Raw genomic sequence first — 22,989 nt, 5'->3', positions numbered from 1 at the left:
AGCCTGAAGAACCCAGAAGCCATCCAAGTGGCTTCGCTGATCTCTCTAAGGTTAACAGGGGCTCCATTCTGTCTCCTTGAGAAAGGATAAAAATCAATTGTTTTGGATGTGGCATCAGTTCTGTTCTTATTATTTTGTGCTGTGCATTGTGTTCTTCTGAATGAGTGATCTCAATCCCTCTTTTTTGTTCCTCCTGCCCTCCTTCTGTGTATATATCTCTCCATGTTTCCCATTCTTCATTCTGTTCCCTTGCACTCGCAAGGTTGATTGACTTTAGAATGGGACACTTTCACATTCATCCTTGTTAAAATCCCAGCTTCTTTTCAGGTTCCTCATCTAAACTTGATGTGTAGTAGTAGAAAGAACACCGTCTGGATCACTGGACAGGACACATCAACAGCTTGCTATGTGACAAATCACCTAGCCTCTCTGAGCCTCCCTTTTCTGTCAAATGAGGGAGTTGGCTAACTGGTCTCTAAAATCCCTTGCAAGCTGGGTGTGGTGCCTCACACCTGTAATCGCAGCACTTTGGGAGGCTGAGGCAGGAGGATTGCTCGAGGCCGGACGTTCAAGACAAGACCAGTCTGGGCAACATAGGAAGACCCTGTCTCTATTCTACAAAAAAAAAAAAAAGGATGTGGCAGCACATGCCATTAGTGCCAGCTACTCAGGAAGCTGAGGTGAGAGGATTGCTTGAGCCCAAGAGGCCAAGGCTGCAGTAAGCCATGATTATGCCACTGTACTCCAGCCTGGGCAACAGAGGGAGACACTGTCTCAAAAAAAAAAAAAAAAAAAAAAAAAAAAAAAAAAAAGAAAGAAAGAAAACATTAAAATCCCTTCTAGCTGTAAGCTTGTGATTTTAGGAAGTTGCAGCCTCAATCCAGGCAACTGTCTGGGGACCGTTAATTAGGATGTCACTCATAGGCCTCAATGAAACTGCTAGGATGCCAACAGAAGTTAGCCACATGATCTCCTGTGGTTGGTAACCTTCCTAAGGCCTTCACAGCTGAGGACAGTGTGGGTACCAGCTAACTTCAGGGACTGAGATTCCAATCCAGTAAGGGGAGAAGAGGAAGATAAATGACTCCAGGAACCCTATGTTCCAGGAAAATTAATTTGCATTTTTAAACTGTAGCTAAAAAACGCACATAAATATTGATTCAGTTGGAAACAGGACCCTAGGATGCTATTGTGGGGGAGGTGGGACACTTTCCCTTCTCCATCAGACCCTCCTATGTAGGGGTCTTCTGGCTATATAAAAGATACCCCTCAAGGCCCACCAAAAAAATATATGAAAAGGTAAGGAGGAAATGAAGGCTTGAGGAGTTAAAAAAAATGAATTAGGAGTTAGCAAATTCCAGCATGTGTCAAAGGAAAGAGGTCTTCTCTGTAGCAGGGGTGAGGGAGGTCAGGGAAGGTTGCAGAACCCAGACTTTGGCTGAGGCAGAGGCTGGCAGTGGTTGGCAACTCAGGAGAGAGTTTGTATAGCATGATCCCTGCTCTCAGGCTCAATCCCCAGCTCAGAGCCCACCAGCTTGTGGATGCAGCAGATGGGCAGGGGGCTCGAGCCCTCTCCCTCCTTCCTGGACACAGTCTTGAGGGTGCAGAATGACTGGAGAAAAGCCCCTATTCTGGCCTCCAGGAGAACAGGCTGTTATTGTCTGACTCTGCTAAAGCTGTCTCATTTGTAGCCTAAATAATTCACTCACCAATCTCTCAAGAAGCATTAGGAGAAAAACAAAACCTGACCCAGCCCTCATGCTCAGGTTCCCATTGCACAGAAGTCAGGCAAGGAGGCTGGGAGGCAGTCCCACACTGCAGAGATGGCCTGCCTTCAAAGGTTCATCAGATTGGCATCCTTCTGAAACAGACCCAGATTCTGTTTCTATACAGCTAAGACTTGAGCTATTAATAAGACTAGCTTTTGTATATTAAAGATATTTTAAAACAAAATGAAACAAACAAACAAACAAAAAATCAACAATAAAAACAAAGAGTATGCAACAGAGACTGTATGTGAGCTGCCAAGCTTGAAATATTTACTATCTGGCCTTTTCCAGAAAATGTTTGCCAATCCCTTAATCCATCCCCACCCTCCATCCTCCAACCTTAAAGGAGGTAATGACGATCTTCTTCTTTTTTTTTTTCTGTCTAGCCACTATTTTATTTTATTTATTTATTTATTTATTTTAGTATTTATTGATCATTCTTGGGTGTTTCTCGGAGAGGGGGATGTGGCAGGGTCATAGGAAAATAGTGGAGAGAAGGTCAGCAGATAAACATGTGAACAAAGGTCTCTGGTTTTCCTAGGCAGAGGTCCCTGCGGCTTTCCTTCTGCAGTGTTTGTGTCCCTGGGTACTTAAGATTAGGGAGTTGTGATGACTCTTAAAAGAGCATGCTGCCTTCAAGCATCTGTTTAACAAAGCACATCTTGCACCGCCCTTAATCCATTTAACCCTGAGTTGACACAGCACATGTTTCAGAGAGCACAGGGTTGGGGGTAAGGTTATAGATTAACAGCATCCCAAGGCAGAAGAATTTTACTTAGTACAGAACAAAATGGAGTCTCCTATGTCTACTTCTTTCTACACAGACACAGTAACAATCTGACCTCTCTTTCTTTTCCCAACATTTCCCCCTTTTCTTTTCGACAAAACCGCCATCGTCATCATGGCCTGTTCTCGATGGTCACTGTCTCTTCGGAGCTGTTGGGTACACCTGCAGAAAGGCTGTCACTTCACACTTGGAAGATTGCACAGCGGCCAGGCAGAGGCGCTCCTCACTTCCTAGACGGGGCGGCGGCCGGGCAGAGGCGCTCCTCACTTCCCAGATGGGGTGGCGGCCAGGCAGAGGCTGTAATCTTAGCACTTTGGGAGGCCAAGCCAGGCGGCTGGGAGGTGAAGGTTGTAGCGAGCCGAGATCACGCCACTGCACTCCAGCCTGGGCAACATTGAGCACTGAGTGAGCGAGACTCCGTCTGCAATCCCAGCACCTCGGGAGGCCAAGGCGGGCAGATCACTCGAGGTCAGGAGCTGGAGACTAGCCCAGTCAACACGGCGAAACCCCGTCTCCACCAAAAATACAAAAACCAGTCAGGTGTGGCGGCGCGTGCCTGCAATCCCAGGCACTCGGCAGGCCAATCACGGGAGTCCGAGGCAGGGAGGTTGCAGCGAGCTGAGATCATGGCAGGAGAGGGAAGAGGGAAGAGGGAAGAGGGGAGAGGGGAGAGGGGAGAGGGGAGAGGGGAGAGGGGAGAGGGGAGAGGGGACGATCTTTGACCAACTCCCTACCTACCCCACCCCATGAGCCCACCATCGGCAGAGATTCTGAGTTGTGAGTTCTGATATTTACACTCTAGTAAGAAGCTGGCACCATTGTTCACCCCATTGTCAAAAACAAGAAAATAAACTGGAGTAGGGCAAGAAAAGGGGAATATCAGTCTTGGTTCTACTGAGCAGGGAGGGAGGGAGAAGCTGAGACTCAGCCACAAACTATCATCTGATTTGTCTTTCTGAGGGTCAGAATTCAGCATCGTCCAGGTGGGTCTCTACTGACACCCCCCTCCCTAAGGCCTTGGTGATCTCAACACCCACAGTCTCAGAGGCTGCAATTCTCTTACTGATGAGATATCTAAGTAGCCCATGCCTCTGAGTCCCTGAAGCCTATGTGTCATCCCTGAGCCATCTAGTGTCAGCCTGACTGCACTGACCTTTAATTCTAAACGGAGGCTCTAGCCTTCCACCCCTGCTGCCCAGCAGGGGCCTTTGAAAAGAGAAGACTCTAACCAGTTCTACATCCCACCCAGAATTTCTCCTGGAGCCAGACCTTCTGAGAATCATAGCCCAAAGACCCCAGAAGAGATGGGTCAGAGTGGGCAATGGAGATGCCAGCTGAGCCCCAGCTGTAACTGAGTTGAGTGACCTCTGGGTGTCATAAGGCCTGCTTGAAATTTGGAGGATGAGAGTAGAGTGGAGACCAGATGGTCCCACATCCCGGTGTGTGGATATTCTGGATTATTTCAGACAGGAGAACAGTGACCTTAGTAAAAGTCTCTGCTCTAGCATCTCCCAAGAAAAATGTTGCTGCTGTCCAGCCTGTACTTTGCTGGTTCCAGTAACTTGACATAAAATTAACATGGGAGGCCTACGTTGGAATCCTATTATTCAGGCTAGTGGAAAGTCATCAGTCTTAGAGGTCTGGGAGCCCAGGCTATGAGATCTTGGGCAAACTGCCTCACCTCTCTGGAGCTGCTTCCTCATCTGTTAAAATAAGCAAACAAACAAAAACCTGAGGTGCTTGGATGGAGATGATTTTAAAGTCCTGTCCATCCCATACCCAATGAATGGCCCATACCTGTGCCAAAGATTTGGGAAGTTATTTGGCTTTATTTTTACTTTCCTTCCGCAAGTCAATCCAATCCCATCCAAATGAGATACTGCTGGTCTGGCATAAGGGGAGAGTGTTTTCCTGCAACATGTTAACAGCTTGCTGGGGATTCAGAACTGATGCGAAAGAGGGAGGTGGTGGGTGCTGAATGTGACCTCTTGTTTCTATGCCCTGTGGCCACAGGGTATCTGAAGAACTGTGGGAATCTCATTCCCAAACCCCCATCATGCCATAGCATGTGGCCCAGAAGCCGCAGTCTGGTATCAAGTACTTTAACCTAAATTATCTAAATTGTCTGTCATCAACTCTCCAATTCAACTGGACATTCCTTAAGGGCAGGAATTGTGTGTTGACCTTCGTGTCTCCAGAAAAGCCCAGCTCCACATTAGGTATGTGATTGCAGATCCATCCATATCTGCTGAGCAGCTTAACTGAAATGCCCCGGAAAGACTGATGCTGCATTTGACATGAGGCATGTAAGTGAATCCCCATCTTTCCTGGCTGATGACTGGATACCATTCTTCAGTTCACGGCTCAGTCAAGCCTTTCTTGTCCAGGCCGTGACCCCCAAGAGCTATCGTGTGACCTGGTGAAGAAGCGAGAGGGTAAGGTTAGAGAAGGGAATGCCTATTCCATTCCAGCATGCCAGAGACTACCCAGAATATGCAGGTCACTTAGAGGACATTGCTGCCAATCCTCTCACCCTAAAGCAGGCCGGAATGGGAAAGCATGGCCTGGTGACCCATGCAAACATACGTCAGACAAGCCTCCCCACTGTTTGCTTCAGAGTAGCTACCCAAATTGCAAGCACTTCCTTACAGGCCACAAACCCAAACCTATAACATGGTGACAAATGTCACAAGCTCTGTAGTGGGTCTCATTCTCTTCTGATCTTAAATATACTCAGAATGGCTGTCCCTCATCCCTGCCTCCGGATAGAGAGAGGATGCTCTACTTTAGAGCCAAACTTTTTCTTGCTGTAGCTCCTTTTGTTGTGTGCTCTGTGAAAATGGTTGCTCTCTTCAGAAGCCAAAGGCTGCCTTTCCTTCTCTATTTTTTTTTCTTTTTTTCTTTTTTTGAGATGGAGTCTCACTCTGTCGCCCAGACTGGAGTGCAGTGGCATGATCTCTGCTTACCGCAACTTCTGCCTCCTAGGTTCAAGCAATTCTCCTGCCTCAGCCTCCCAAGTAGCTGGGATTACAGGCGTGTGCCATTATGCCCAGCTAATTTTTGTATTTTTAGTAGAGACGGGTTTTCACCATGTTGACCAGGTTGGTCTTGAACTCCTGACCTCTTGATTCACCCACCTCTGTCTCCCAAAGTGCTGGGATTACAGGCATGAGCCACCGCACCCAGCCCTCCTTCTCTATTTTCTTATGTGTTTGCTTGTTTGCTGTGTGTGGTGGGAGGGAAGGAAAGCCAAAGGCAGAACCCTGGCTTGCCCTGCAGTGTCACTCTTCTGTACCAATGGTGACGGCAGAGCAATGCGGCTGATTAGCCATGACACACATGGAGCTGCTAACGAGTTTGATAAAAAATTTAATTACCCCTTGTTCTGTGGAGCAGGCAGCAAACCATGAAAATAATAATCCTCTTGGGTGCTGTGACAGTGGACAGAGAAATCTGACTAGAGGAGGGTAGGTATGAACTGTAGGGAGTCAACAACAGTGGGAATGGGGTGGGGGTGGGGGATGGTCACGGCAGAGGTGAGTGACAGAGTGACTACTGTACCTGGAGCTCAGGTAGAAGTAGCAATTCCTCCCTCAATTATCTTATAATTTTTCCCATTCTCGACTATGTTTTTTTTTTTTTTTTTTTTAATATTTCAACTTTTATTTTAGATTCAGGGATTACATGTGCAGGTTTGTTACATGAGTATATTGCATGACACTGAGGTTTGGAGTGCCATTGATCTCATTACCCATGTAGTAAGCATAGGACCCAATAGGTAGTTTTTCAGCCCTTGCTCCCCTCCCTCTCTCACTGCTCTGGTAGTCACCATCGTCCACTGTTCCCATCTTTATGTCCATGTGTACCCAATGTTTAGCTCTCAGAAGTGAGAACATGTGGTATTTGATTTTCCGTTGCCATGCTAAGTCCCTTAGGATCATGGCCTTCAGCTGCAACCAGGGTGTTACAGAAAACATTATTTTTTTTATGGCTGTGTAGTATTCTATGGTATATAAGTGCCACATTTTCTTTATCCTATTCAATGTTGATTGGCACCTAGACTGATTATATGCCCTTGCTATTATGAATACTGCTTTGATGAACATACAAGTGCATGTGTCTTTTTGGCAAAATGATTTATTTTCCTTTGGGTATATACCAGTAATAGGATGGCTGGGTTGAATGGTAGTTCTGTTTTAAGCTCTTTTTTTTTTTTTTTTTTTTTTTTGCTGCTCTAATATGTTGTTTTTTTTTTTTTAAATTATACTTTACGTTTTAGGGTACATGTGCACATTGTGCAGGTTAGTTACATATGTATACATGTGCCATGCTGGTGCGCTGCACCCACTAACTCGTCATCTAGCATTAGGTATATCTCCCAATGCTACCCCTCCCCCCTCCCCCCACCCCACCACAGTCCCCAGAGTGTGATATTCCCCTTCCTGTGTCCATGTGATCTCATTGTTCAGTTCCCACCTATGAGTGAGAATATGCGGTGTTTGGTTTTTTGTTCTTGCGATAGTTTACTGAGAATGATGATTTCCAATTTCATCCATGTCCCTACAAAGGACATGAACTCATCATTTTTTATGGCTGCATAGTATTCCATGGACTATGTTTTTATAGGCCTGATATTTTCTGGAGGCAAACTAATTCCAGGCAGACAGGAGGAAACCAGCGTATATGGACATCAAGAATCTTCCCAGGACACACTGGATTTCAAGTCCTGACCCCCCTAACTCCAGTCCCCAGTGAGAACAGACCTGAGAGGACTGTCTGTGAATTTCATGGTTCACGATCTCACCTTGGGACACTGACATCCTAGACCTCCAAGGCTCCTGTGCCCCCTTTTCTGCCCTTGGTAGAGAGGGAAGGGGAGGGTGGGATGAGGTGCCCACCCAGGGTACCTTGGTGGTTTTGACTTTGTGTCCACTGCTGCAGCTCCATCCCGACAGGTCCGGGAGCACCTTACACTCCTCCCCCGGCAGGCAGGGCTCCATCTGACACCACCATCTCTGCAGGACGATGGAGGCTGTGGGAGCAGGAGGCGGAGTGCAGCTCTAGGGTCTCTACGAGCACAGTGGGCAGCCAAGAGCAGGTCTGCGAATGAGGTGCACGTTTCCACACACCCCTGGCCTTGAGCCATGCATTTCCCTTGTCTTTCCCCTACTCCAGGCTGCCCAGAGAGGCAGTACTCAGCCTGAGGCCTGGGGACGTAACCCTCTCAACTTTAATCCCACCGATCCCTGCATCTCCCCAGACAGTGACGGGTGAAGGCAGGCAAAAATGTCTCTAAGGTGACCATGTCACTAGCATCGATGCACAACCAGTATACTCCCTCTGTGGTGTGTGAGCAAGGGTGTGAGTCGTCTGGAGGGGTCTACAGACCAGGAGTGCATAGCTGGCATAGCTGGTATGCGCGTGACACAGTGGGCATGTGTATGGGGTGCCAAATGAGTGTTAGGGTAATGAGTGTGGGTGTGAAGGATCACACGTGTCCACATAGGAAAGTGTGAGAGAAGGGCTGAGAAGGAGAGGAGAGTAGGCTGAGACAGCCAGGGGAAGGAGCAGCAGGGGAAGGAGCTGGAGGAAGTGTGTGGGGAGAGGAGTGGGGCTGTGTGAGGGAACGCTCCTGTGTGTGCAACAGGCAGAGGGCACGTGAGTGTGGGAGGCTGTGCGCATAACAAGAGCTTTTCTCATCTATGACACAGGGATGGCCACGTCTGCCCTCTTCTCCCAGAGGGGGCCCCACCATTTGAGACTGCTCATGAAAGCCCTGAGACGGGTATGAAATTGTATCCCCAGCAGATGGCGAGGCCTGAACAGGCCTCCTTATGGCTCTGCTCAGGGCCCTGCCCGGGTCCTGGCCTCTCACTCACCGTCCACGCAGGAGGGCTTTGCCCGCGTGGTGCCGGCCACCTGGCCAGAAAAACAGGAGCATTTCACCGTCTGGGAGCGCTCCTCGATGCGGTTCCGGTTGCAGCAGCGGTGAGCCGCAATCACCTCGCAGGTGCCCTGCTGCACAAGCACTGAGGGGAGCCGCCCAGGATCAGACGCCCAACACGCCCGACCCCGCTCCCTCCCGCCCACCCGGGCTGGCCTCCAGCCCCTCCTCCCTGCTGCAGGGAGGGCTATGGAAGAGACTGCCAGTGGCAGGGGAGGAGGAAGTGGATGAAATCTTCCCGCCGCTTCACAGAGCTCCTATTCTTCCTCCCTCCCCTGTGAGGCCTGTGCTCTTCACCCTTTGGCAGAGCACGGCCCCTGGGCAGAAGACAGAGTCCCGCACCAGCCCCGCCTCCCCAGCTTCCTCAGGGTGAGGGCAAGGGCCCCAGGGCTTACAATGCGTGGGGAGGATCATCCGCTTACACAGGCTTTAGCCATCCCAGAAGGAAAACCATAGAATTAGGCCAGGAGGCTAGAGATAAGCCCTCACCCGAGGGCCTCTCTCACTACAGAACACCTTCCAGCCTGGAAGGAGAGGTGAGCAAAGGGTCTGCCCAGACCTTCTCTGGGGCGGGACAGCTGGGGTGGGCAGAGATTCCTGGGTAAAGAGCAGAGGAGGAGCCGGAACCCCTAGAATCTCTGGATTTTACTCTGCCTGGGAGACCTGCCTGCTATGGAACACGGTGGAGTGGTGTCCAGCTCCCCAGGTGTCCTGGGAAACTCCCTCCCCGGGCCCTGCCACCTCCTCCAAACCTGTGGCAGTGGGAGGCTGCAAGGCAGCCAAGGTCAGGTGGGTCCACAGCCAGGCCAGGCACAGTGCCAGCAGCCAGCCGCCCGTGCTCCAGTTCCGCTCGACCCTCTCACTCATCCTGCGGAGAGAAGCACACATTCTGCTCAGCTCCAGGCAGAAGCTCCCCTGTGCACCTGGGCACCTTCTCTGTGCCACACACTCTGGGAGGCACAAAGATGGGGAGGAGGCACACCTTGTCCCCAGGCATCTTTCGACCTGGCACAGAGTCATGCAGGCAGTAGTGAGTGCTGCAGGAAGAAAAGGAGAGCCTTTGGAGGAGACAACATTTAAGAGGCATCTTGGAGGATGAACTAGCTATGGGCCCATGGAGGGTCGTGACATGGGAGGGACAATAATACTGACTCCTACTCTTTGAGTGCTTGGTTCCAGCACTTCACATGCACACTCTTGAATTCTTCACAACTGTCCTACAAAGCAACATTATTATTACCTGTTTTACAGATGAGAAAACCAAAGCTCAAAAAGCTAGGACATAACCTAAACAACCATCAGTAAAAGACTGGCTGAATACATCGTAAAGAGTCTGTACAAATGCAGTCCCATCCAGATAGCTGTAAAAAAACCAATGGGGAATTGCTTTATGTCCTGACACATGCAGTGATCTCCAGTGATAATCCACTGTTAAGGGGGAAAAAAAGCAAAGTGTAGAATGGTGTGTATACGATGTGTATAAGGCAGGCCAGGAGTGGTGGTTCATGCCTCTAATTCCAGCACTTTGGGAGGCCAAGGCAGGAGGATCACTTGAGGCCAGAAGTTCGAGACCAGCCTAGGCAACATAGCAAGACCCCATCTCTACAAAAAATTAAAAAATTAGTCAGGCATGGTGGTGCACACCTATAGTCCCAGCTACTCCAGAGGCTGAGGTGAGAGGATCAGGAGTTTGAGGCTGCAGTGATCTATGACTGTGCTACTGCACTCCAGCCTGGGCAACAGAGTGAGACCCTAGCTCAAAAATAAATAAAATAAAATGTGTATAAAGGAAGGATTATCTATGTTGCTCAGATATGCATAAACTAGCTTTGAAAAATATATTTTAAAACTAGTAATATTGTTTGCCATCCAAAAGGGAAACTGGTTGGTTGGGAGATGGAGGTAGAAGAGAGACTTTTTCTCCTGATTTATTTCTTGCTTTTTGAGCTGCCAACCACGGGAATGCAGTAGCACTTCAATTTAAACAGAATTTAAATTTAAAAAGGAAGAGGTGAAACCGAGGCTAACAGAAGTCAAATGACTTGCCCAAGGCCAGGCAGCATGTGGGTGGAAGAGTTCAGAGCCTAGAAGCCTGCCCTCTGCCCACTGCACCACCTTGCCTCTGTTCTCTTCCCCTTTCCTTTTCCTCTTTCATCGTTGATGGTTTGGGCCTCCCAAAGCTACCCTGAAGGGTAGGCTGGAAATGGAGGGAATCCTAAGGAAGCAAGAGGCACAGAGTAGCTAGGAGCTGCCCAGCCATTGAAGGGAGCAGGAGAAGTCCCAGGATGCAGCAAGGCCAAAAGCTCAGGGGTGAGCCTGGACCACTGCTGGGCCCCCACAAGTGCCAGTGCAGCTTTGGGAATACCAGAGGCCAAACCAACTGCTAGGACCCAGTTGCTCCTCAGATAGGGTACTTGATCTCTGTCCACCCCCGCTACTCCCCATCTTCAATGTCTCCCCACTTACCTTTTTGGGGATCTTTCAGTTTCTGTCTGTTCATCTGCTGTCCTCAGACTCACTCCACCTGGACAAGTAGGAAAGATTCATAGGGGGTTGCAAAGGATAGAGGGAGCCGATGGCTCTGCAGGGGGTGAAGGAGAACCTGGGAGAGGGCAAGGGGGTGGGCTGGGCACTGAAGTTCAGCCCAATTCTGAAGCTGTTCTCAGGTGCCAGGGCAGGGACAGTCTCTTCTGGCCTGGGAATCTGGAGGGGCTCTTGCAGACTCTGGGATCACACAGGGTGGTGAGCCTGAGAAGGGTGGCCTGAGGGAGTTTCTCTATCCCAAGAGTGAAGCAGGGTGATGGTAGGGAGGGGTCTAAGAATCACAGCTGTCATCTCTCTGGCCTTGGGAGGGAGCTGAGGGTCAAGGAAGGAGCAGAACCTGACAGATTCCTGCTGGAAGAGGCACGTGGGAGATACCTGAGGCCCTGATCCTCTTTGCTTCCACCTCCTACCCACTATGGCACCTGCTTCCTGGACTCACATGGAGCTGGCTTGGCTTAGCATCCCTTGCCCCCATTCCCACACCAGAGGGCTGGAATGGGGACACTCCAGGTCCCTGAGCCTTTGAAGGCCACAGCCTCCAATAGCTTTCCATTTCTCCCTAAGAACCTCTCTTCCCTCACCTCTCTAAAGGGAGGCAGAACTGAAACATATAGGATGGTGGGGCCCCGGAAGGACAGAGACCCCTGAGTCCTAGCTCCTAGGAGCGAGAGCATAAGGGGAATCTGGAGGAACACAGAGAAGAGGTGCCAGTTCCCAGGGGATGGGTGTGCTCCCTGGGCTGAGCTTCCCACTCTTCTAGATGTGCCTCTTTCCTGAGTAGAGATCTCTTCTCCCTGCCCTCCAGGAACCCTCCTTTTGACCATCACAAATGCAGCTTTGTCTTCTCTCAGGTGATCCTATTTCCCTCTGAGCTGCAACATCCTCCAATCCAACTCAGGCATCTCTCCTAGGAACCCCAAGGCCCAAAAGACCTTGGTGGGGTGGGGAGCAGAGGGGTGGGGGTGTTCATTTGGGCTCTCATCCCTGGCATTCTATTCCCTCCCTCCCTGAAACAGCTGGACATAGAAGCTTCTGGGATGTGTTTTTCGACTTCCATGCTCCTGCCTCAATTTCCTAGCCTATTTTTCCTAAATCCCAATCCAGGGGTTTAGTGAGGCTGAGTTAGCAGCCTGCATTACAAGGGTTTGAGGATGTGAACCACAAGAATCTTCAACCTTTCTTCACCTTCTCTCCCCACAAACCCCCCTAACGCCTACTCATTCCTCCACATTCTGAGCCCCCACACCTGGGACCTACCTGGTCCACGGTGATGCCCACTGGTTCGATCTGCTGGCCTGAAGTCTTCCTTGCCACTGAGCCAGGGACCAGCACTCCGAAAGACAGACTTTGGGAGGGAGCGGCCAGCTTGGGTGCTGTCTAGTCCGGAGCCCTGTCCCCTTCACCAAGTTGCTGCGCCCCCGGGACAGCGGGGTTCTGGTCAGGTTGGCATCATCCGCAGGGCGGGCCGGGCTCTGGGCACAGGGGAGCTCTGGGCCCGGCCCCGCCAGCTCTGCAGAACTCAGCCGGGTTTTTTCCAAGGTTCCTGCCGGCAGGCCGGGGAGCGCGCAGCCGCCGCCGCAACCGCCGCCTCGCCCCGGGCTACCCCCGCTCCTCCAGCCCCGCGTGGGCGCCGCCGCCTCCTTCGGGACAGTGCCAGGCGCTCGGCTGAACGGATGGGCACAGCCGAGACGCAGCGGCCCCTGGCGGCCGAGGGCAAGAGGAAGGGAGAGAGGACATCCGGCACCCGCAGGTTCAGTGAGGATGGACACCTCCGTGGTGGCAACTCAGAGGAGGTCCCTCAAAACCCTGAAGGTCTTGTGGCCCCCAGTGCCCTGGCTCAGGGGAGGTGGAGGTGCTGGGGGGAAAGGAGCTGGGAGTGAGGAGTGATTGACTAGACCCTCAGGGTTTTTGAGCTTTGAAGATTGCAGAACTGCATTGTCCAATACGGTAGCCACTAGTGGCATGTTGATATTTAAATTTAAATCTAAATTAATTAAATAAAACTTAAAATTCAGTTCCTCATTAGTAGGCACCATATTTCAAATGCTCAATAGCCACACGAAGATAGGGACTGCTGTATTGGACAGAGCAGATGTAGAACATTCCCGTCAGTGCACAAAGTTCTGTTCAGCAGCACTCTTCTAGAATGATATTTAGGAGGGAATAGTAAATATCTCTTCCTCTCCCAGGAGTGGTGCTCTCAGGGGCTGGGAGGGCTAGAGGAAGTATGAGGGTGTGGGCATTAGGCAGGAGGACAGTAGTAGGCTATGAATGGTCCCTATGGATGTTAAGTGTGAATACCAACATGGGAACCAAATTCTGAGACCTAGTTTCTTGTTTCTCTTTCTTTCTTCCTTCCTTCCTTCTCTTTCTTTCATTCTTTTTCTTTTCTTTTTTATTTATTTATTTTTTGGGGACAGGATCTCATCACTCTGTCACCCAGATCTTGGTTCATTGTAATCTCCACCTCCTGGGATCAAATGATCCTCCCATGTCAGCCACCTGAGTAGCTGGGACTATAGGGGTAGTCTGTAGTGCACTACCAAGCCAGGGTTAATTTTCTGTATTTTTTGTAGAGACAGGGTTTTGCTATGTTGCCCAGGCTGGTCTTGAACTCCTGGACTCAACTGATCCATCCACCATGGCCTCTCAAAGTGCTGGGATTACAGGTGTGAGCCACCACTCCTGGCCTGAGACCCAGTTTCTTTATCAGAAAAATTGTAATGTAATTAATTGCAACTGAATAATTCTTTACAGAGATCTGTTTTGGATGCGAATGTATTAGACAAATGAGAGGAAGTGGTGTTCTGTGAATTTGAAGGGACTTTCCTCTTAGTTTAAGAGGCCTTTGGGTTTAGGGTGATGTGAAGGGGAGAGACAAGGCAGAAGATGACCAGTTCTGGGCCCTGAGCCACCACTGTGGCCTGAGATAAAGGGGCCTGTCTTGAGGCTGTCCAGTCCCCCTCCTTGGTTCAAGCTTCACACTCCCCCAGCAGGGCCAGCCACTAAGCAGAGTCTCACTCTTCACAGAGAAAAACATCCCACAAGTCTGCTTCTTCATACCCCATCCCCTTTTCTCTCTCACTTTCCGCTGCCTCAGGGATGAGTAGAGGTGATGACCTCACCAGGTTCTGGGGCAGTCTGAGGATGGAGGAGGCATAATGGTGCCAGGAATAGGAGGTGAGAGGTTCAGGGAGGAGGAGCCTTAGGATTAGGCCATGGCTGGGGGCTGTTCTGGAGCCCCAGGGAGCTGTTATTCTCCCTGCTGATCATCTGGTGCTGGGGCTGGGGGGGTCTCTTGGCTTAGCTTTGCGGACAGCTTGCAGCCACACCATGGTGGGTGCTAGAAAGGGCAGGGAATAGGGAGCTGGGTGACACGAAGAAGTGGTAAGTAAACTGTCCCAGAAACACTGAATAATAAAAACAACCAGGAGTTATATTTGTTTCTTCAGTTGCTGGCTTGCTGCTGCTGTTATTTATCTGAGAGTTGGTTCCAGTTTTTCTCAAATAGCAGGGGAAAACCTATAGAAGCAGCCTGTTCTTTGTCCCCGTCTTCTTTTGCTGCTCTATTTGCCTTGGGGTCTGTTTTTTTTCTCTCCTGTGACTTCTTTTCCTCTGTCTCTCTCTGCCTAAAGCTCAGGTGTAACAAAGCAGGCATAGTAAGTCTACCAACCTGAAGGACCACTGTGGGATCTTTATTTGGAAGCTGCCAAGAAAGTCATCCCTTCTGGGGACACAGTTTAGCCTGGGGAACAAAGTGGTATGTGGTCAGGAAGCACCTGGCCGACAGAGCCCAGAAAAGTTCCAGCCGTGAACTGGGTGCCGTAGTCCCTGATGGCTACTTCCAACTTGCTTGAGGGCCACAACGGCGTTGTCCCCATTTGAGATGTGTGGATGGGTGGTGTCTGTGGATACCTAGCGATCAACTTTCTGATAGGAGGTTTAGAGACAGAGCTCTTGTGGCATCAGGTCAGTACCACCCTCTCCCAGAGGGGAGAAGTTAGGAAGAACGGGCAGCCAACCAGGCATTGGGCTCTGTCCTGGTCTTCCAGTGAGTGTGCTTTTACTCTTCTTAGGCAAGGGCTTAGCCTGGCCTCTGTCTCCCCCTGGCGGTAGACACAGAACTTGCTCAGCATTCCCGGACTGCTCTCAGCCCTGGCCCTAAGAGAAGGATGGGAGGGGAGGAACCCCCACTCCTCTCTCTGCCATTGATCTCCTTTCTAGCCCTTCCTCCCTGATCCGGAGAAGTAAGCTTGGTTCTTAAGACAGAGCAGGTTTGAATGTCAGGAGGCCGACATAGGTGTGAATCTTTCACTTGACCGTGTGACCTCCTGGGGCAAGTCACGGTAAAATGACAGGAAGCGTCCCGTCCTGCCTCATCCGTGAAACTGACAGAAAAAAAACCATCTTGAAGGATTGGTGTGCAGTATAAATAACCTAATACTGTATGGAACGTGCTTTGTAAAGGGTCTAGTATGCAGTACTTCTTCAATAAATAGTATTTGTTATGTTGTTATTATCCTATTAATAGCTTGTCCTGCTGTGGTCAGGGAAGGTCTGCATTGTGGGAAAGACCTGGGTTCTGAGAGAGAAAGGAGGGTGGGAGTAGCAACCGCTCTCCCAGATCTAGAGGTGGTCTTCACGGGGAACAGCGCATCAGGAGCCCAGGAATCTACCCCGGCTCCTGATTCCGGGGTGGTCGGCTGCAGCCTGCGTCATTAATCCCGCAACCCCACCCGGTACCAGCTTGCCCGCTCTCGCTCCAGCAGCCCCATCCAGAGGTGGTGTCACACCTGGCGCCTCATACCCAGCGGCTCCCAAGCGCCTGTTTTGCTCTGAGGTCATTAGCTCCATGGCTCTCTGGGCTGGCTGGCCACACCGAACCGAGAGCGAGGAGACCGCACCCCCTTGTCCCTCAGCCCCCGTCACAATGGAGACATTCTAGCTGTGTCTAATCTAGCGCACGGCTGAAATAAGGTTTCCTTCTCTCCGCCCCCTTCCCACAGCAACAGAACCTACCCCTAAGAAACGGAGGCGGGGCCAAGCCGGAATGGGGCGGGGCAGAGGCCGGGGACCCGTGGGCCGGTTCCTGGGGTGGCCCAGAGCAAGGGCAAGTTTCGCCCGGGACCCGCCCAGCTGGCCGGGAGCCAGTAGCAGGGAAGGGCCGGCTGGCGCGAGCACCGCCCACGCGGAGCCATGGGGGCGGGGCCTGGGCGGGGGCGGGGCCGCGGCCGAGGGCGGGGCAGGGAGGCAGCATGCTAAACCGGGTGCGCTCGGCCGTGGCGCACCTGGTGAGCTCCGGGGGCGCTCCGCCTCCGCGCCCCAAATCCCCGGACCTGCCCAACGCCGCCTCGGCGCCGCCCGCCGCCGCTCCAGAAGCGCCCAGGAGCCCTCCCGCGAAGGCTGGGAGCGGGAGCGCGACGCCCGCGAAGGCTGTTGAGGCTCGAGCGAGCTTCTCCAGACCGACCTTTCTGCAGCTGAGCCCCGGGGGGCTGCGACGCGCCGATGACCACGCGGGCCGGGCTGTGCAAAGCCCCCCGGACACGGGCCGCCGCCTGCCCTGGAGCACAGGCTACGCCGAGTGAGCGCCCCCTGGGGCACCCAAACCAGGATGGGGCTCCCACCCCTCTCCCCAGCTCCGCATCCCCGGCGCTAGGACGCGTTCCCCACGCCGCGTCCGGGCCAGGAGCTCCCTTTTCCGTGGACCTTTGCTATCCTCTGGTCTTCGGGCCGCACCCCCTCCCAACCCATTTTCCAGTGGGGGGCAGCCTGTGTCACCTTCTTCACGTCCTTCCCGCTCATTGACTGCCCTCGCCCACGCCGCCTCAGGACCCTGTTCTGCCCCAGAGCCCGGAGGGCGGAGAGCCCGGCGAAGGATGAGTTGGCCAGTTCCCCGTCGCGGCCCGGCAGCTTAAAGGCTAAGGGAAAAGGGGTTTCACGAAGGAGCGGGGTTCTTTTTAATAGGGGACATAGCGGTTGGGAAGACTCGCTCACCCGCTTCCCGGCTCCAGCGCCCCAGTTCCCTGTCCCTCTTACCGTAGTTCCCCTCCCCCTCCACACCCAGAAATAGCCCGCGACACCAGGAGGCCGCCAGCTTCCCCAGGAGCGGGGAGGGGGACGCCCGGGGTAGAGGAGGGTCCCATTTAGATGCCCTTCAGCCTGCCAACTCGTGCTGGCCTGGCAAAGAAGCGGACCCCCTGCCCGGAGCGGCCGGCTGGCCCCCGGGCTGTGTGTATTTTAAATGCATCTGCCGGGAACGCAGAGCACCGAGGGAGATGGGGGCGCTCAGTTCGCTGAGGAAGGTGGCTGGTGGCCCATGGACCCACCACCACCTCCCTTAGCCTCCTGTGTGGGAGGAGTTTATGGGTATGTGGCTCCTGCCCAGTCCAGGTGGGCTTTCACTTCTACTCTATTTCAGTTCCTCTTTCCCGATCTGGGCTGGAGAGCTTCCTCATTGTTAAGGCAGCAGAAACTTTCGCTGGATGGTTTTAGGATAAGGGTGGGTGTGCCCATGAGGATGAGGTGCTGGGGACAAGGCACTGGGAGAGTTGATAGTGGTTGAGGGTGGGATGTAGGGTCTAGCTAGCAGGGAAGTAAAACTTCTGCTACCAACTAGCCCCTCCCCCAGAAGCACCACTAGGAATGCCTTTTTCTTTTTTCTTTTTTTTTTGCCAGGGATGGGGGAAGTGAGGCAGGCAGGGGACATAGCGGTTGGCCAGAAGCTCCTGCTGGCCTTTCTGTGAAGTGGTAGGGCTGGCCACCCAAACAGTACTCCTTACACCTTGCCAGCCCTCCCTTCTCCTCCTCCCTCTGGCCTGGATCCCAGGTGGCTGTGACCTTTCTCAGCTTGGCCAGCGGGCGCAGGAGACGGTGTGTGTCTAAGGTGGGGGTTATTCCAGGACCTGGTCTGGTGTCCAACCTGATGTGGTCATTCTGGCCTGGCAGGGTCATCAATGCTGGCAAGAGTCGGCACAATGAGGACCAGGCTTGCTGTGAAGTGGTGTATGTGGAAGGTCGGAGGAGTGTTACAGGAGTACCTAGGGAGCCTAGCCGAGGCCAGGTAAGACCCATCCCCTTTCCCAGAGACACAGTGACACCTCTCCCCAGGGACTCAGGCCTCTGGTTTTAAATCTGAGCCATGCGGAAGACCTGATGAACTCACTGGCTATCTACCTTCTGGCACAGAACCTTTACCTGGTATTCATCAGTTAGATTCTACCATGTAAGCATGAATGTTACTTTCCCACCTAAAATGTAGAGGCTCACATATTTATGGATGATTTAATTGCCAGTGCTGAGTTTTGGATCTGTTATCCTCTGAGTTTGGGTTTTTGAGCCTTTCCTTTCTCTTGACACATACGAAGCCTTATGTGAATAAACCTAATTTGCCTTCAGTAGCAAACACTGACCTCTCAGATGTTTGTATGGATGCCCAGAGTCTTGTTATTCACCTTGCATAACACACACACACACACACACACACACACACACAAACAAAACTCACCTCCAACTTTTCCTCCACCAGGGACTCTGCTTCTACTACTGGGGCCTATTTGATGGGCATGCAGGGGGCGGAGCTGCTGAAATGGCCTCACGGCTCCTGCATCGCCATATCCGAGAGCAGCTAAAGGACCTGGTAGAGATACTTCAGGACCCTTCGCCACCACCCCTCTGCCTCCCAACCACTCCGGGGACCCCAGATTCCTCCGATCCCTCTCACTTGCTTGGCCCTCAGTCCTGCTGGTCTTCACAGAAGGAAGTGAGCCACGAGAGCCTGGTAGTGGGGGCCGTTGAGAATGCCTTCCAGCTCATGGTGAGTGGGTGACCTGGGCCAAGAGCCTGCTAGGCAACCACTCTGGCCAACTCTGTGTGGAAGCCAGAGGGGGTTACCCTGAGAACCCACAACACCTTTGAGAGCCTGAGCAGAGCTTGGTTCAGAGGGGAGGGAGAAGGGGCAGTTACACCCCAGTCTTCCCTCCTGTCTTCCAGTGTAGCCTGGCTGGGCCAGTTGATTTCTACGGGTGGAGGGGGTAGGGGGAGGGTGACTGTGTGCTGGAACCTCTCCTTCTACCCACCTCTGACCCTTCCTTATGTGGCAGGATGAGCAGATGGCCCGGGAGCGGCGTGGCCACCAAGTGGAGGGGGGCTGCTGTGCACTGGTTGTGATCTACCTGCTAGGCAAGGTGTACGTGGCCAATGCAGGCGATAGCAGGTATGGGGGAGGGGGCTCCAAGGTGGCGACAGAGGGCCACACTCTCTGAGTTGGGGGAATACAGGAGAGTAAGGTGGCAGGGGTTAAAAATCAAGATTGGAGGGAGTCAAGAGGGGTGACAGACATAAGGAGTGGCCTGAAATATCCATTGGGTGGGGTCAGGGGCAGATATGGGGGTCTGGGTAAGAGATCTGAAAGGTCATTATGGAGAGGGCCTGGTCTTTCTGGAATTTTTCATGAGTGGGTCTGAAGAGAACCAGGTCCCAATTCCTTTTCTTTCTTTGGGCAGGGCCATCATTGTCCGGAATGGTGAAATCATTCCAATGTCCCGGGAGTTTACCCCGGAGACTGAGCGCCAGCGTCTTCAGCTGCTTGTAAGTAGGAACCAAATTCCCTACCCCCATTCTTTGTCGGGTCTTGTGCCTCCCTGCACCCCATGGCCCTGAGAACTCTCACACCCCCACCACAGGCACAGAAAGCACTTTACTGGGAAGGCCGCTGTGTGGACTATGGAGTGCGGGGCTGAGCCGGTGGGAGGTTGCAGCAGGGAGGCTGCAGCACTGGGCTGGTCCAGTGCTCCCACTGTGGCCCCAGCTGAGGCAGGAAGTAGAGACTGAGGTGGGGGAAGGAAACAGCAAAGGCCCCTGAAAGGCAGTCCGGCTTAGTGCCTAAACGCATGTGGCTGTGGAGCTGGAAGCCCGGGATGCATCCTGGTCTGAGTGCTTTGCTAATTGTGTGACCGGAGCAGTTCCCTCCCTTAACCTCTCTGTGCATCAATAGTTCCTGCCTTAAGGGCTGTTGTGAGGAGTAAATGAGTTAATATTTGCTAATATTAGAATAACGTGTGGCACATGGTAAACTCTGTTTAAGGGTCTGCTGTAGTCAACGTCATCTGTGTGCCACCGTGTGCTGTGAGCATAATGCCCCCTGGCTCTCTGTTCTGATCATCCCCAACTCCAGGGCTTCCTGAAACCAGAGCTGCTAGGCAGTGAATTCACCCACCTTGAGTTCCCCCGCAGAGTTCTGCCCAAGGAGCTGGGGCAGAGGATGTTGTACCGGGACCAGAACATGACCGGCTGGTAACACTTCCCTCAGAGCTGGGGCCCGTTCCCATGGCAACACAACCAGTCCCTCGCCCGCAGCAAGGTGGAAGCTGGAGGCTGGGAGTTGGGAGGATGTGGCCCTTCTAAGGGGTTTGTGTGAGGGTATGCAGCTCCTAGGGGAGAGGGGCTTTGATGCCTGGGTGATGCCTCCTCTACTCCCCCCTCCCCAGGGCCTACAAAAAGATCGAGCTGGAGGATCTCAGGTTTCCTCTGGTCTGTGGGGAGGGCAAAAAGGTAAACTCCATGGTAGAGGTGGGAGAGGGGAGGAGGACCTATCACAACTTGTCTAGGGAGGTGGAGGTTCTACCTGAGGGTAGGGGTGGAAGGGATCTTTGGTTTCAGAGAATCTAGCAGAGGACTACAGTGGCACTCCCTCCTCATTTCTTTCAGGCTCGGGTGATGGCCACCATTGGGGTGACCCGAGGCTTGGGAGACCACAGCCTTAAGGTCTGCAGTTCCACCCTGCCCATCAAGCCCTTTCTCTCCTGCTTCCCTGAGGTGAGCCCCTTAAACCACACCTTGCCTTCTCTGGGAGTCTCAGGCCAGCTTTCATCTGCAGTCCCTTTATCTCCAAGCTCCCTGTCCAGCAAACCCCACACCTCAATCCTCTCTGCCCTTTTCTCCCACCAGGTACGAGTGTATGACCTGACACAATATGAGCACTGCCCAGATGATGTGCTAGTCCTGGGAACAGATGGCCTGTGGGATGTCACTACTGACTGTGAGGTAGCTGCCACTGTGGACAGGGTGCTGTCGGCCTATGAGCCTAATGACCACAGCAGGTAGGGGCTGCATGGCATGGTGGTAAGGGGATGGCATTGGTGAAAGAAGGGTCAAAGGGAAGCAATGCTTGGGACCCCACATGTGGGCCTGTGTATCTGTCTTCCCACATACATGTTGGTACATGAATGTGCATGTGTGCTCCTGGCAGGTATACAGCTCTGGCCCAAGCTCTGGTCCTGGGGGCCCGGGGTACCCCCCGAGACCGTGGCTGGCGTCTCCCCAACAACAAGCTGGGTTCCGGGGATGACATCTCTGTCTTCGTCATCCCCCTGGGAGGGCCAGGCAGTTACTCCTGAGGGGCTGAACACCATCCCTCCCACTAGCCTCTCCATACTTACTCCTCTCACAGCCCAAATTCTGAAGTTGTCTCCCTGACCCTTCTTTAGTGGCAACTTAACTGAAGAAGGGATGTCCGCTATATCCAAAATTACAGCTATTGGCAAATAAACGAGATGGATAAAGGTGTGTGTCTGTATTTGCTTTGACTAGAAACTGAAAGATAAGAAGAAAGCTCTGTGGGGTGGTGGAAAGAGCACCAGAACAGTTCTAGAAATGTGGTGTCCCCCAGGTTCTTTATTCCACCCCCACTCTTTCCACTCCACGCATTTGCTGTGAGTGTCATCATCCACTTCTGTGGCCTCACCCATCTGCCCAGACCCTTCCTGAGCTTTAGACCCACACATACCAGTCATCTCCCGAATGTCTCCTGGATAGCCTGCTGGCACTTCAATTCAAATACCTCAAACTAAATTCACGACTGCCCTCCATAGCATGTTCCTTCTCCTGGTATATCCCCTCAATGGGCACCAGCTCTGCTGCTCCAGTTAGAAATCTTGGAGTTGGTCACCCTTGGCTTTCATTTCTTTCTCATCAAGGTAATTGATCACTAAGTATTGTTGACTATAGACCTTTAAAAGTATTTCTCTACTTATCTCCATCTCTCCCCGCCTTCAGTCACCACCACCTTTTACTATATTGGCCTCCTAAATTTAGTGGCTCCTTATTGCGCCTAGAACAAAATCAACACTCAACTCCTGTGCATGGCATATAAGGACCTTCATGATCCAGCCACTGCTTCCTTCTCCAGCTTCATTTTTTACCACCACCACCAACTTCCTGGGGTTTGCATAACTGTGGGCTTTTAGTAGCTCCAACTTATTCAAAATCTACTGCTGGACACGGTGGTTCACGCCTGTAATCCCAACACTTTGGGAGGCAGAGGTGAGAGGACTGCTAAGCCCAGGAGTTTAAGACCACCCTGGGCAATAGTGAGACCCCATCTCTACAAAAAAATAAAAAATTAGCTGAATGTAGTGGTGAGTGCCTGTGGGAAGCAGTTAAGCATCCAAGGAAATTAAGAGTATTGCTTATAGTAGAAAAGAATAAAGATCTCAAATCAGTGATCTGTTTCCACCTTAAGAGGCTAGAAAAAGAACAGCAAATTAAACCCAAAGTAAGTTAAGGGAAGCAAAAATAAAGATGAGCAAAATAATTAGAAAAGGCCCCTCACCAGCCTGGGCAATATAGCAAGACCTCATCTGTACAAAAAATACAAAAATTAGGTGTGATGGTACACGCCTGTAGTCTCAGCTGCTGGGGAAGCTGAAGTGGGAAAATCATTGGAGCCTGGAAAGTTGAGGCTGCAGTGAGCTGAGATCTTGCCACTGCACACTTAGGCAACAGAGACCTTGTCTCAAAAAAAAATTAAAATTAAAAAAATCTACACATCACCTTATCTTGAGAACTTCACCTGTTGTTCAGGACTGGGTATCGCACAGCCCACACATGCCCACACTACAGCAATGACCTCCGGTATTGTAACTGTCTACATTAGGAGTCAGTAGGGA

At 52.0% G+C, this 22,989-nt stretch overlaps 2 protein-coding genes and 1 long non-coding RNA gene across 6 annotated transcripts, besides 6 other annotated features; 1 reads left to right on the top strand and 2 right to left on the bottom strand.

Annotated features, from left to right (window-relative positions):
- Positions 1-4,365: 4,365 nt before the first annotated feature.
- Positions 4,366-12,696, bottom strand: TAFA3 (TAFA chemokine like family member 3). 3 transcript variants are annotated; one of them, NR_169586.1, is made up of 6 exons: positions 12,302-12,696; positions 10,967-11,024; positions 9,253-9,368; positions 8,436-8,585; positions 7,464-7,625; positions 4,366-4,972 (listed from the first exon to the last, which is right to left on the bottom strand). NR_169586.1 is itself a non-coding variant. In NM_001004440.2 (6 exons), the coding sequence occupies exons 3-6, from the start codon at positions 9,365-9,367 to the stop codon at positions 4,921-4,923; spliced, it is 510 nt and encodes a 169-aa protein (NP_001004440.1). In that variant the 5' UTR covers position 9,368; positions 10,967-11,024; positions 12,302-12,696; the 3' UTR covers positions 4,366-4,920. The 3 variants fall into 3 exon arrangements, 2 of the variants coding, with proteins under 2 accessions (NP_001004440.1, NP_877436.1); NM_001004440.2 differs by having other exon boundaries at positions 7,464-7,656; NM_182759.3 differs by having other exon boundaries at positions 7,464-7,588.
- Positions 7,553-7,757: a silencer, noted in NCBI's record as "fragment chr1:113266466-113266670 (GRCh37/hg19 assembly coordinates)". NCBI's record gives its function as "represses an EF-1alpha promoter that drives an FKBP-Casp9 reporter gene in an ReSE screen in phorbol 12-myristate 13-acetate-treated (for megakaryocytic differentiation) K562 erythroleukemia cells {active_cell/tissue: K562(+PMA)}" and the evidence as "EXISTENCE:reporter gene assay evidence [ECO:0000049][PMID:32094911]".
- Positions 12,587-12,636: a silencer, noted in NCBI's record as "silent region_1205". NCBI's record gives its function as "represses an Ori minimal core promoter by ATAC-STARR-seq in GM12878 lymphoblastoid cells {active_cell/tissue: GM12878}" and the evidence as "EXISTENCE:reporter gene assay evidence [ECO:0000049][PMID:35858748]".
- On the bottom strand, positions 13,805-15,990 carry PPM1J-DT (PPM1J divergent transcript). 2 transcript variants are annotated; one of them, XR_947713.4, is made up of 2 exons: positions 15,838-15,990; positions 13,805-15,432 (listed from the first exon to the last, which is right to left on the bottom strand). It is a non-coding gene; the product is annotated as a PPM1J divergent transcript (long non-coding RNA). The 2 variants fall into 2 exon arrangements; XR_947714.4 differs by having other exon boundaries at positions 13,805-15,150.
- Positions 15,920-16,214: an enhancer, noted in NCBI's record as "tiled region #11832; K562 Activating DNase matched - State 1:Tss". NCBI's record gives its function as "activates a minimal TATA promoter and a strong SV40 promoter by Sharpr-MPRA in K562 cells {active_cell/tissue: K562}" and the evidence as "EXISTENCE:reporter gene assay evidence [ECO:0000049][PMID:27701403]".
- Positions 15,920-16,718: a biological region, named in NCBI's record as "Sharpr-MPRA regulatory region 11832".
- Positions 15,929-16,718: a silencer, noted in NCBI's record as "silent region_1204". NCBI's record gives its function as "represses an Ori minimal core promoter by ATAC-STARR-seq in GM12878 lymphoblastoid cells {active_cell/tissue: GM12878}" and the evidence as "EXISTENCE:reporter gene assay evidence [ECO:0000049][PMID:35858748]".
- On the top strand, positions 16,269-21,603 carry PPM1J (protein phosphatase, Mg2+/Mn2+ dependent 1J). Its single transcript, NM_005167.7, has 10 exons — positions 16,269-16,625; positions 17,990-18,104; positions 18,570-18,857; positions 19,144-19,256; positions 19,546-19,630; positions 20,217-20,335; positions 20,530-20,593; positions 20,750-20,857; positions 20,990-21,141; positions 21,291-21,603. The coding sequence occupies exons 1-10, from the start codon at positions 16,300-16,302 to the stop codon at positions 21,436-21,438; spliced, it is 1,518 nt and encodes a 505-aa protein (NP_005158.5). The 5' UTR covers positions 16,269-16,299; the 3' UTR covers positions 21,439-21,603.
- Positions 17,179-17,238: an enhancer, noted in NCBI's record as "active region_1518". NCBI's record gives its function as "activates an Ori minimal core promoter by ATAC-STARR-seq in GM12878 lymphoblastoid cells {active_cell/tissue: GM12878}" and the evidence as "EXISTENCE:reporter gene assay evidence [ECO:0000049][PMID:35858748]".
- Positions 21,604-22,989: the final 1,386 nt, after the last annotated feature.

The sequence above is a fragment of the Homo sapiens genome, chromosome 1, assembly GCF_000001405.40.
Source record: "Homo sapiens chromosome 1, GRCh38.p14 Primary Assembly".
NCBI classification, from domain to species: Eukaryota; Metazoa; Chordata; class Mammalia; order Primates; family Hominidae; genus Homo; species Homo sapiens.
The sequence above is the reverse complement of the archived record's forward strand: the minus strand, read 5'-3'. Positions and strand labels throughout refer to the sequence as shown.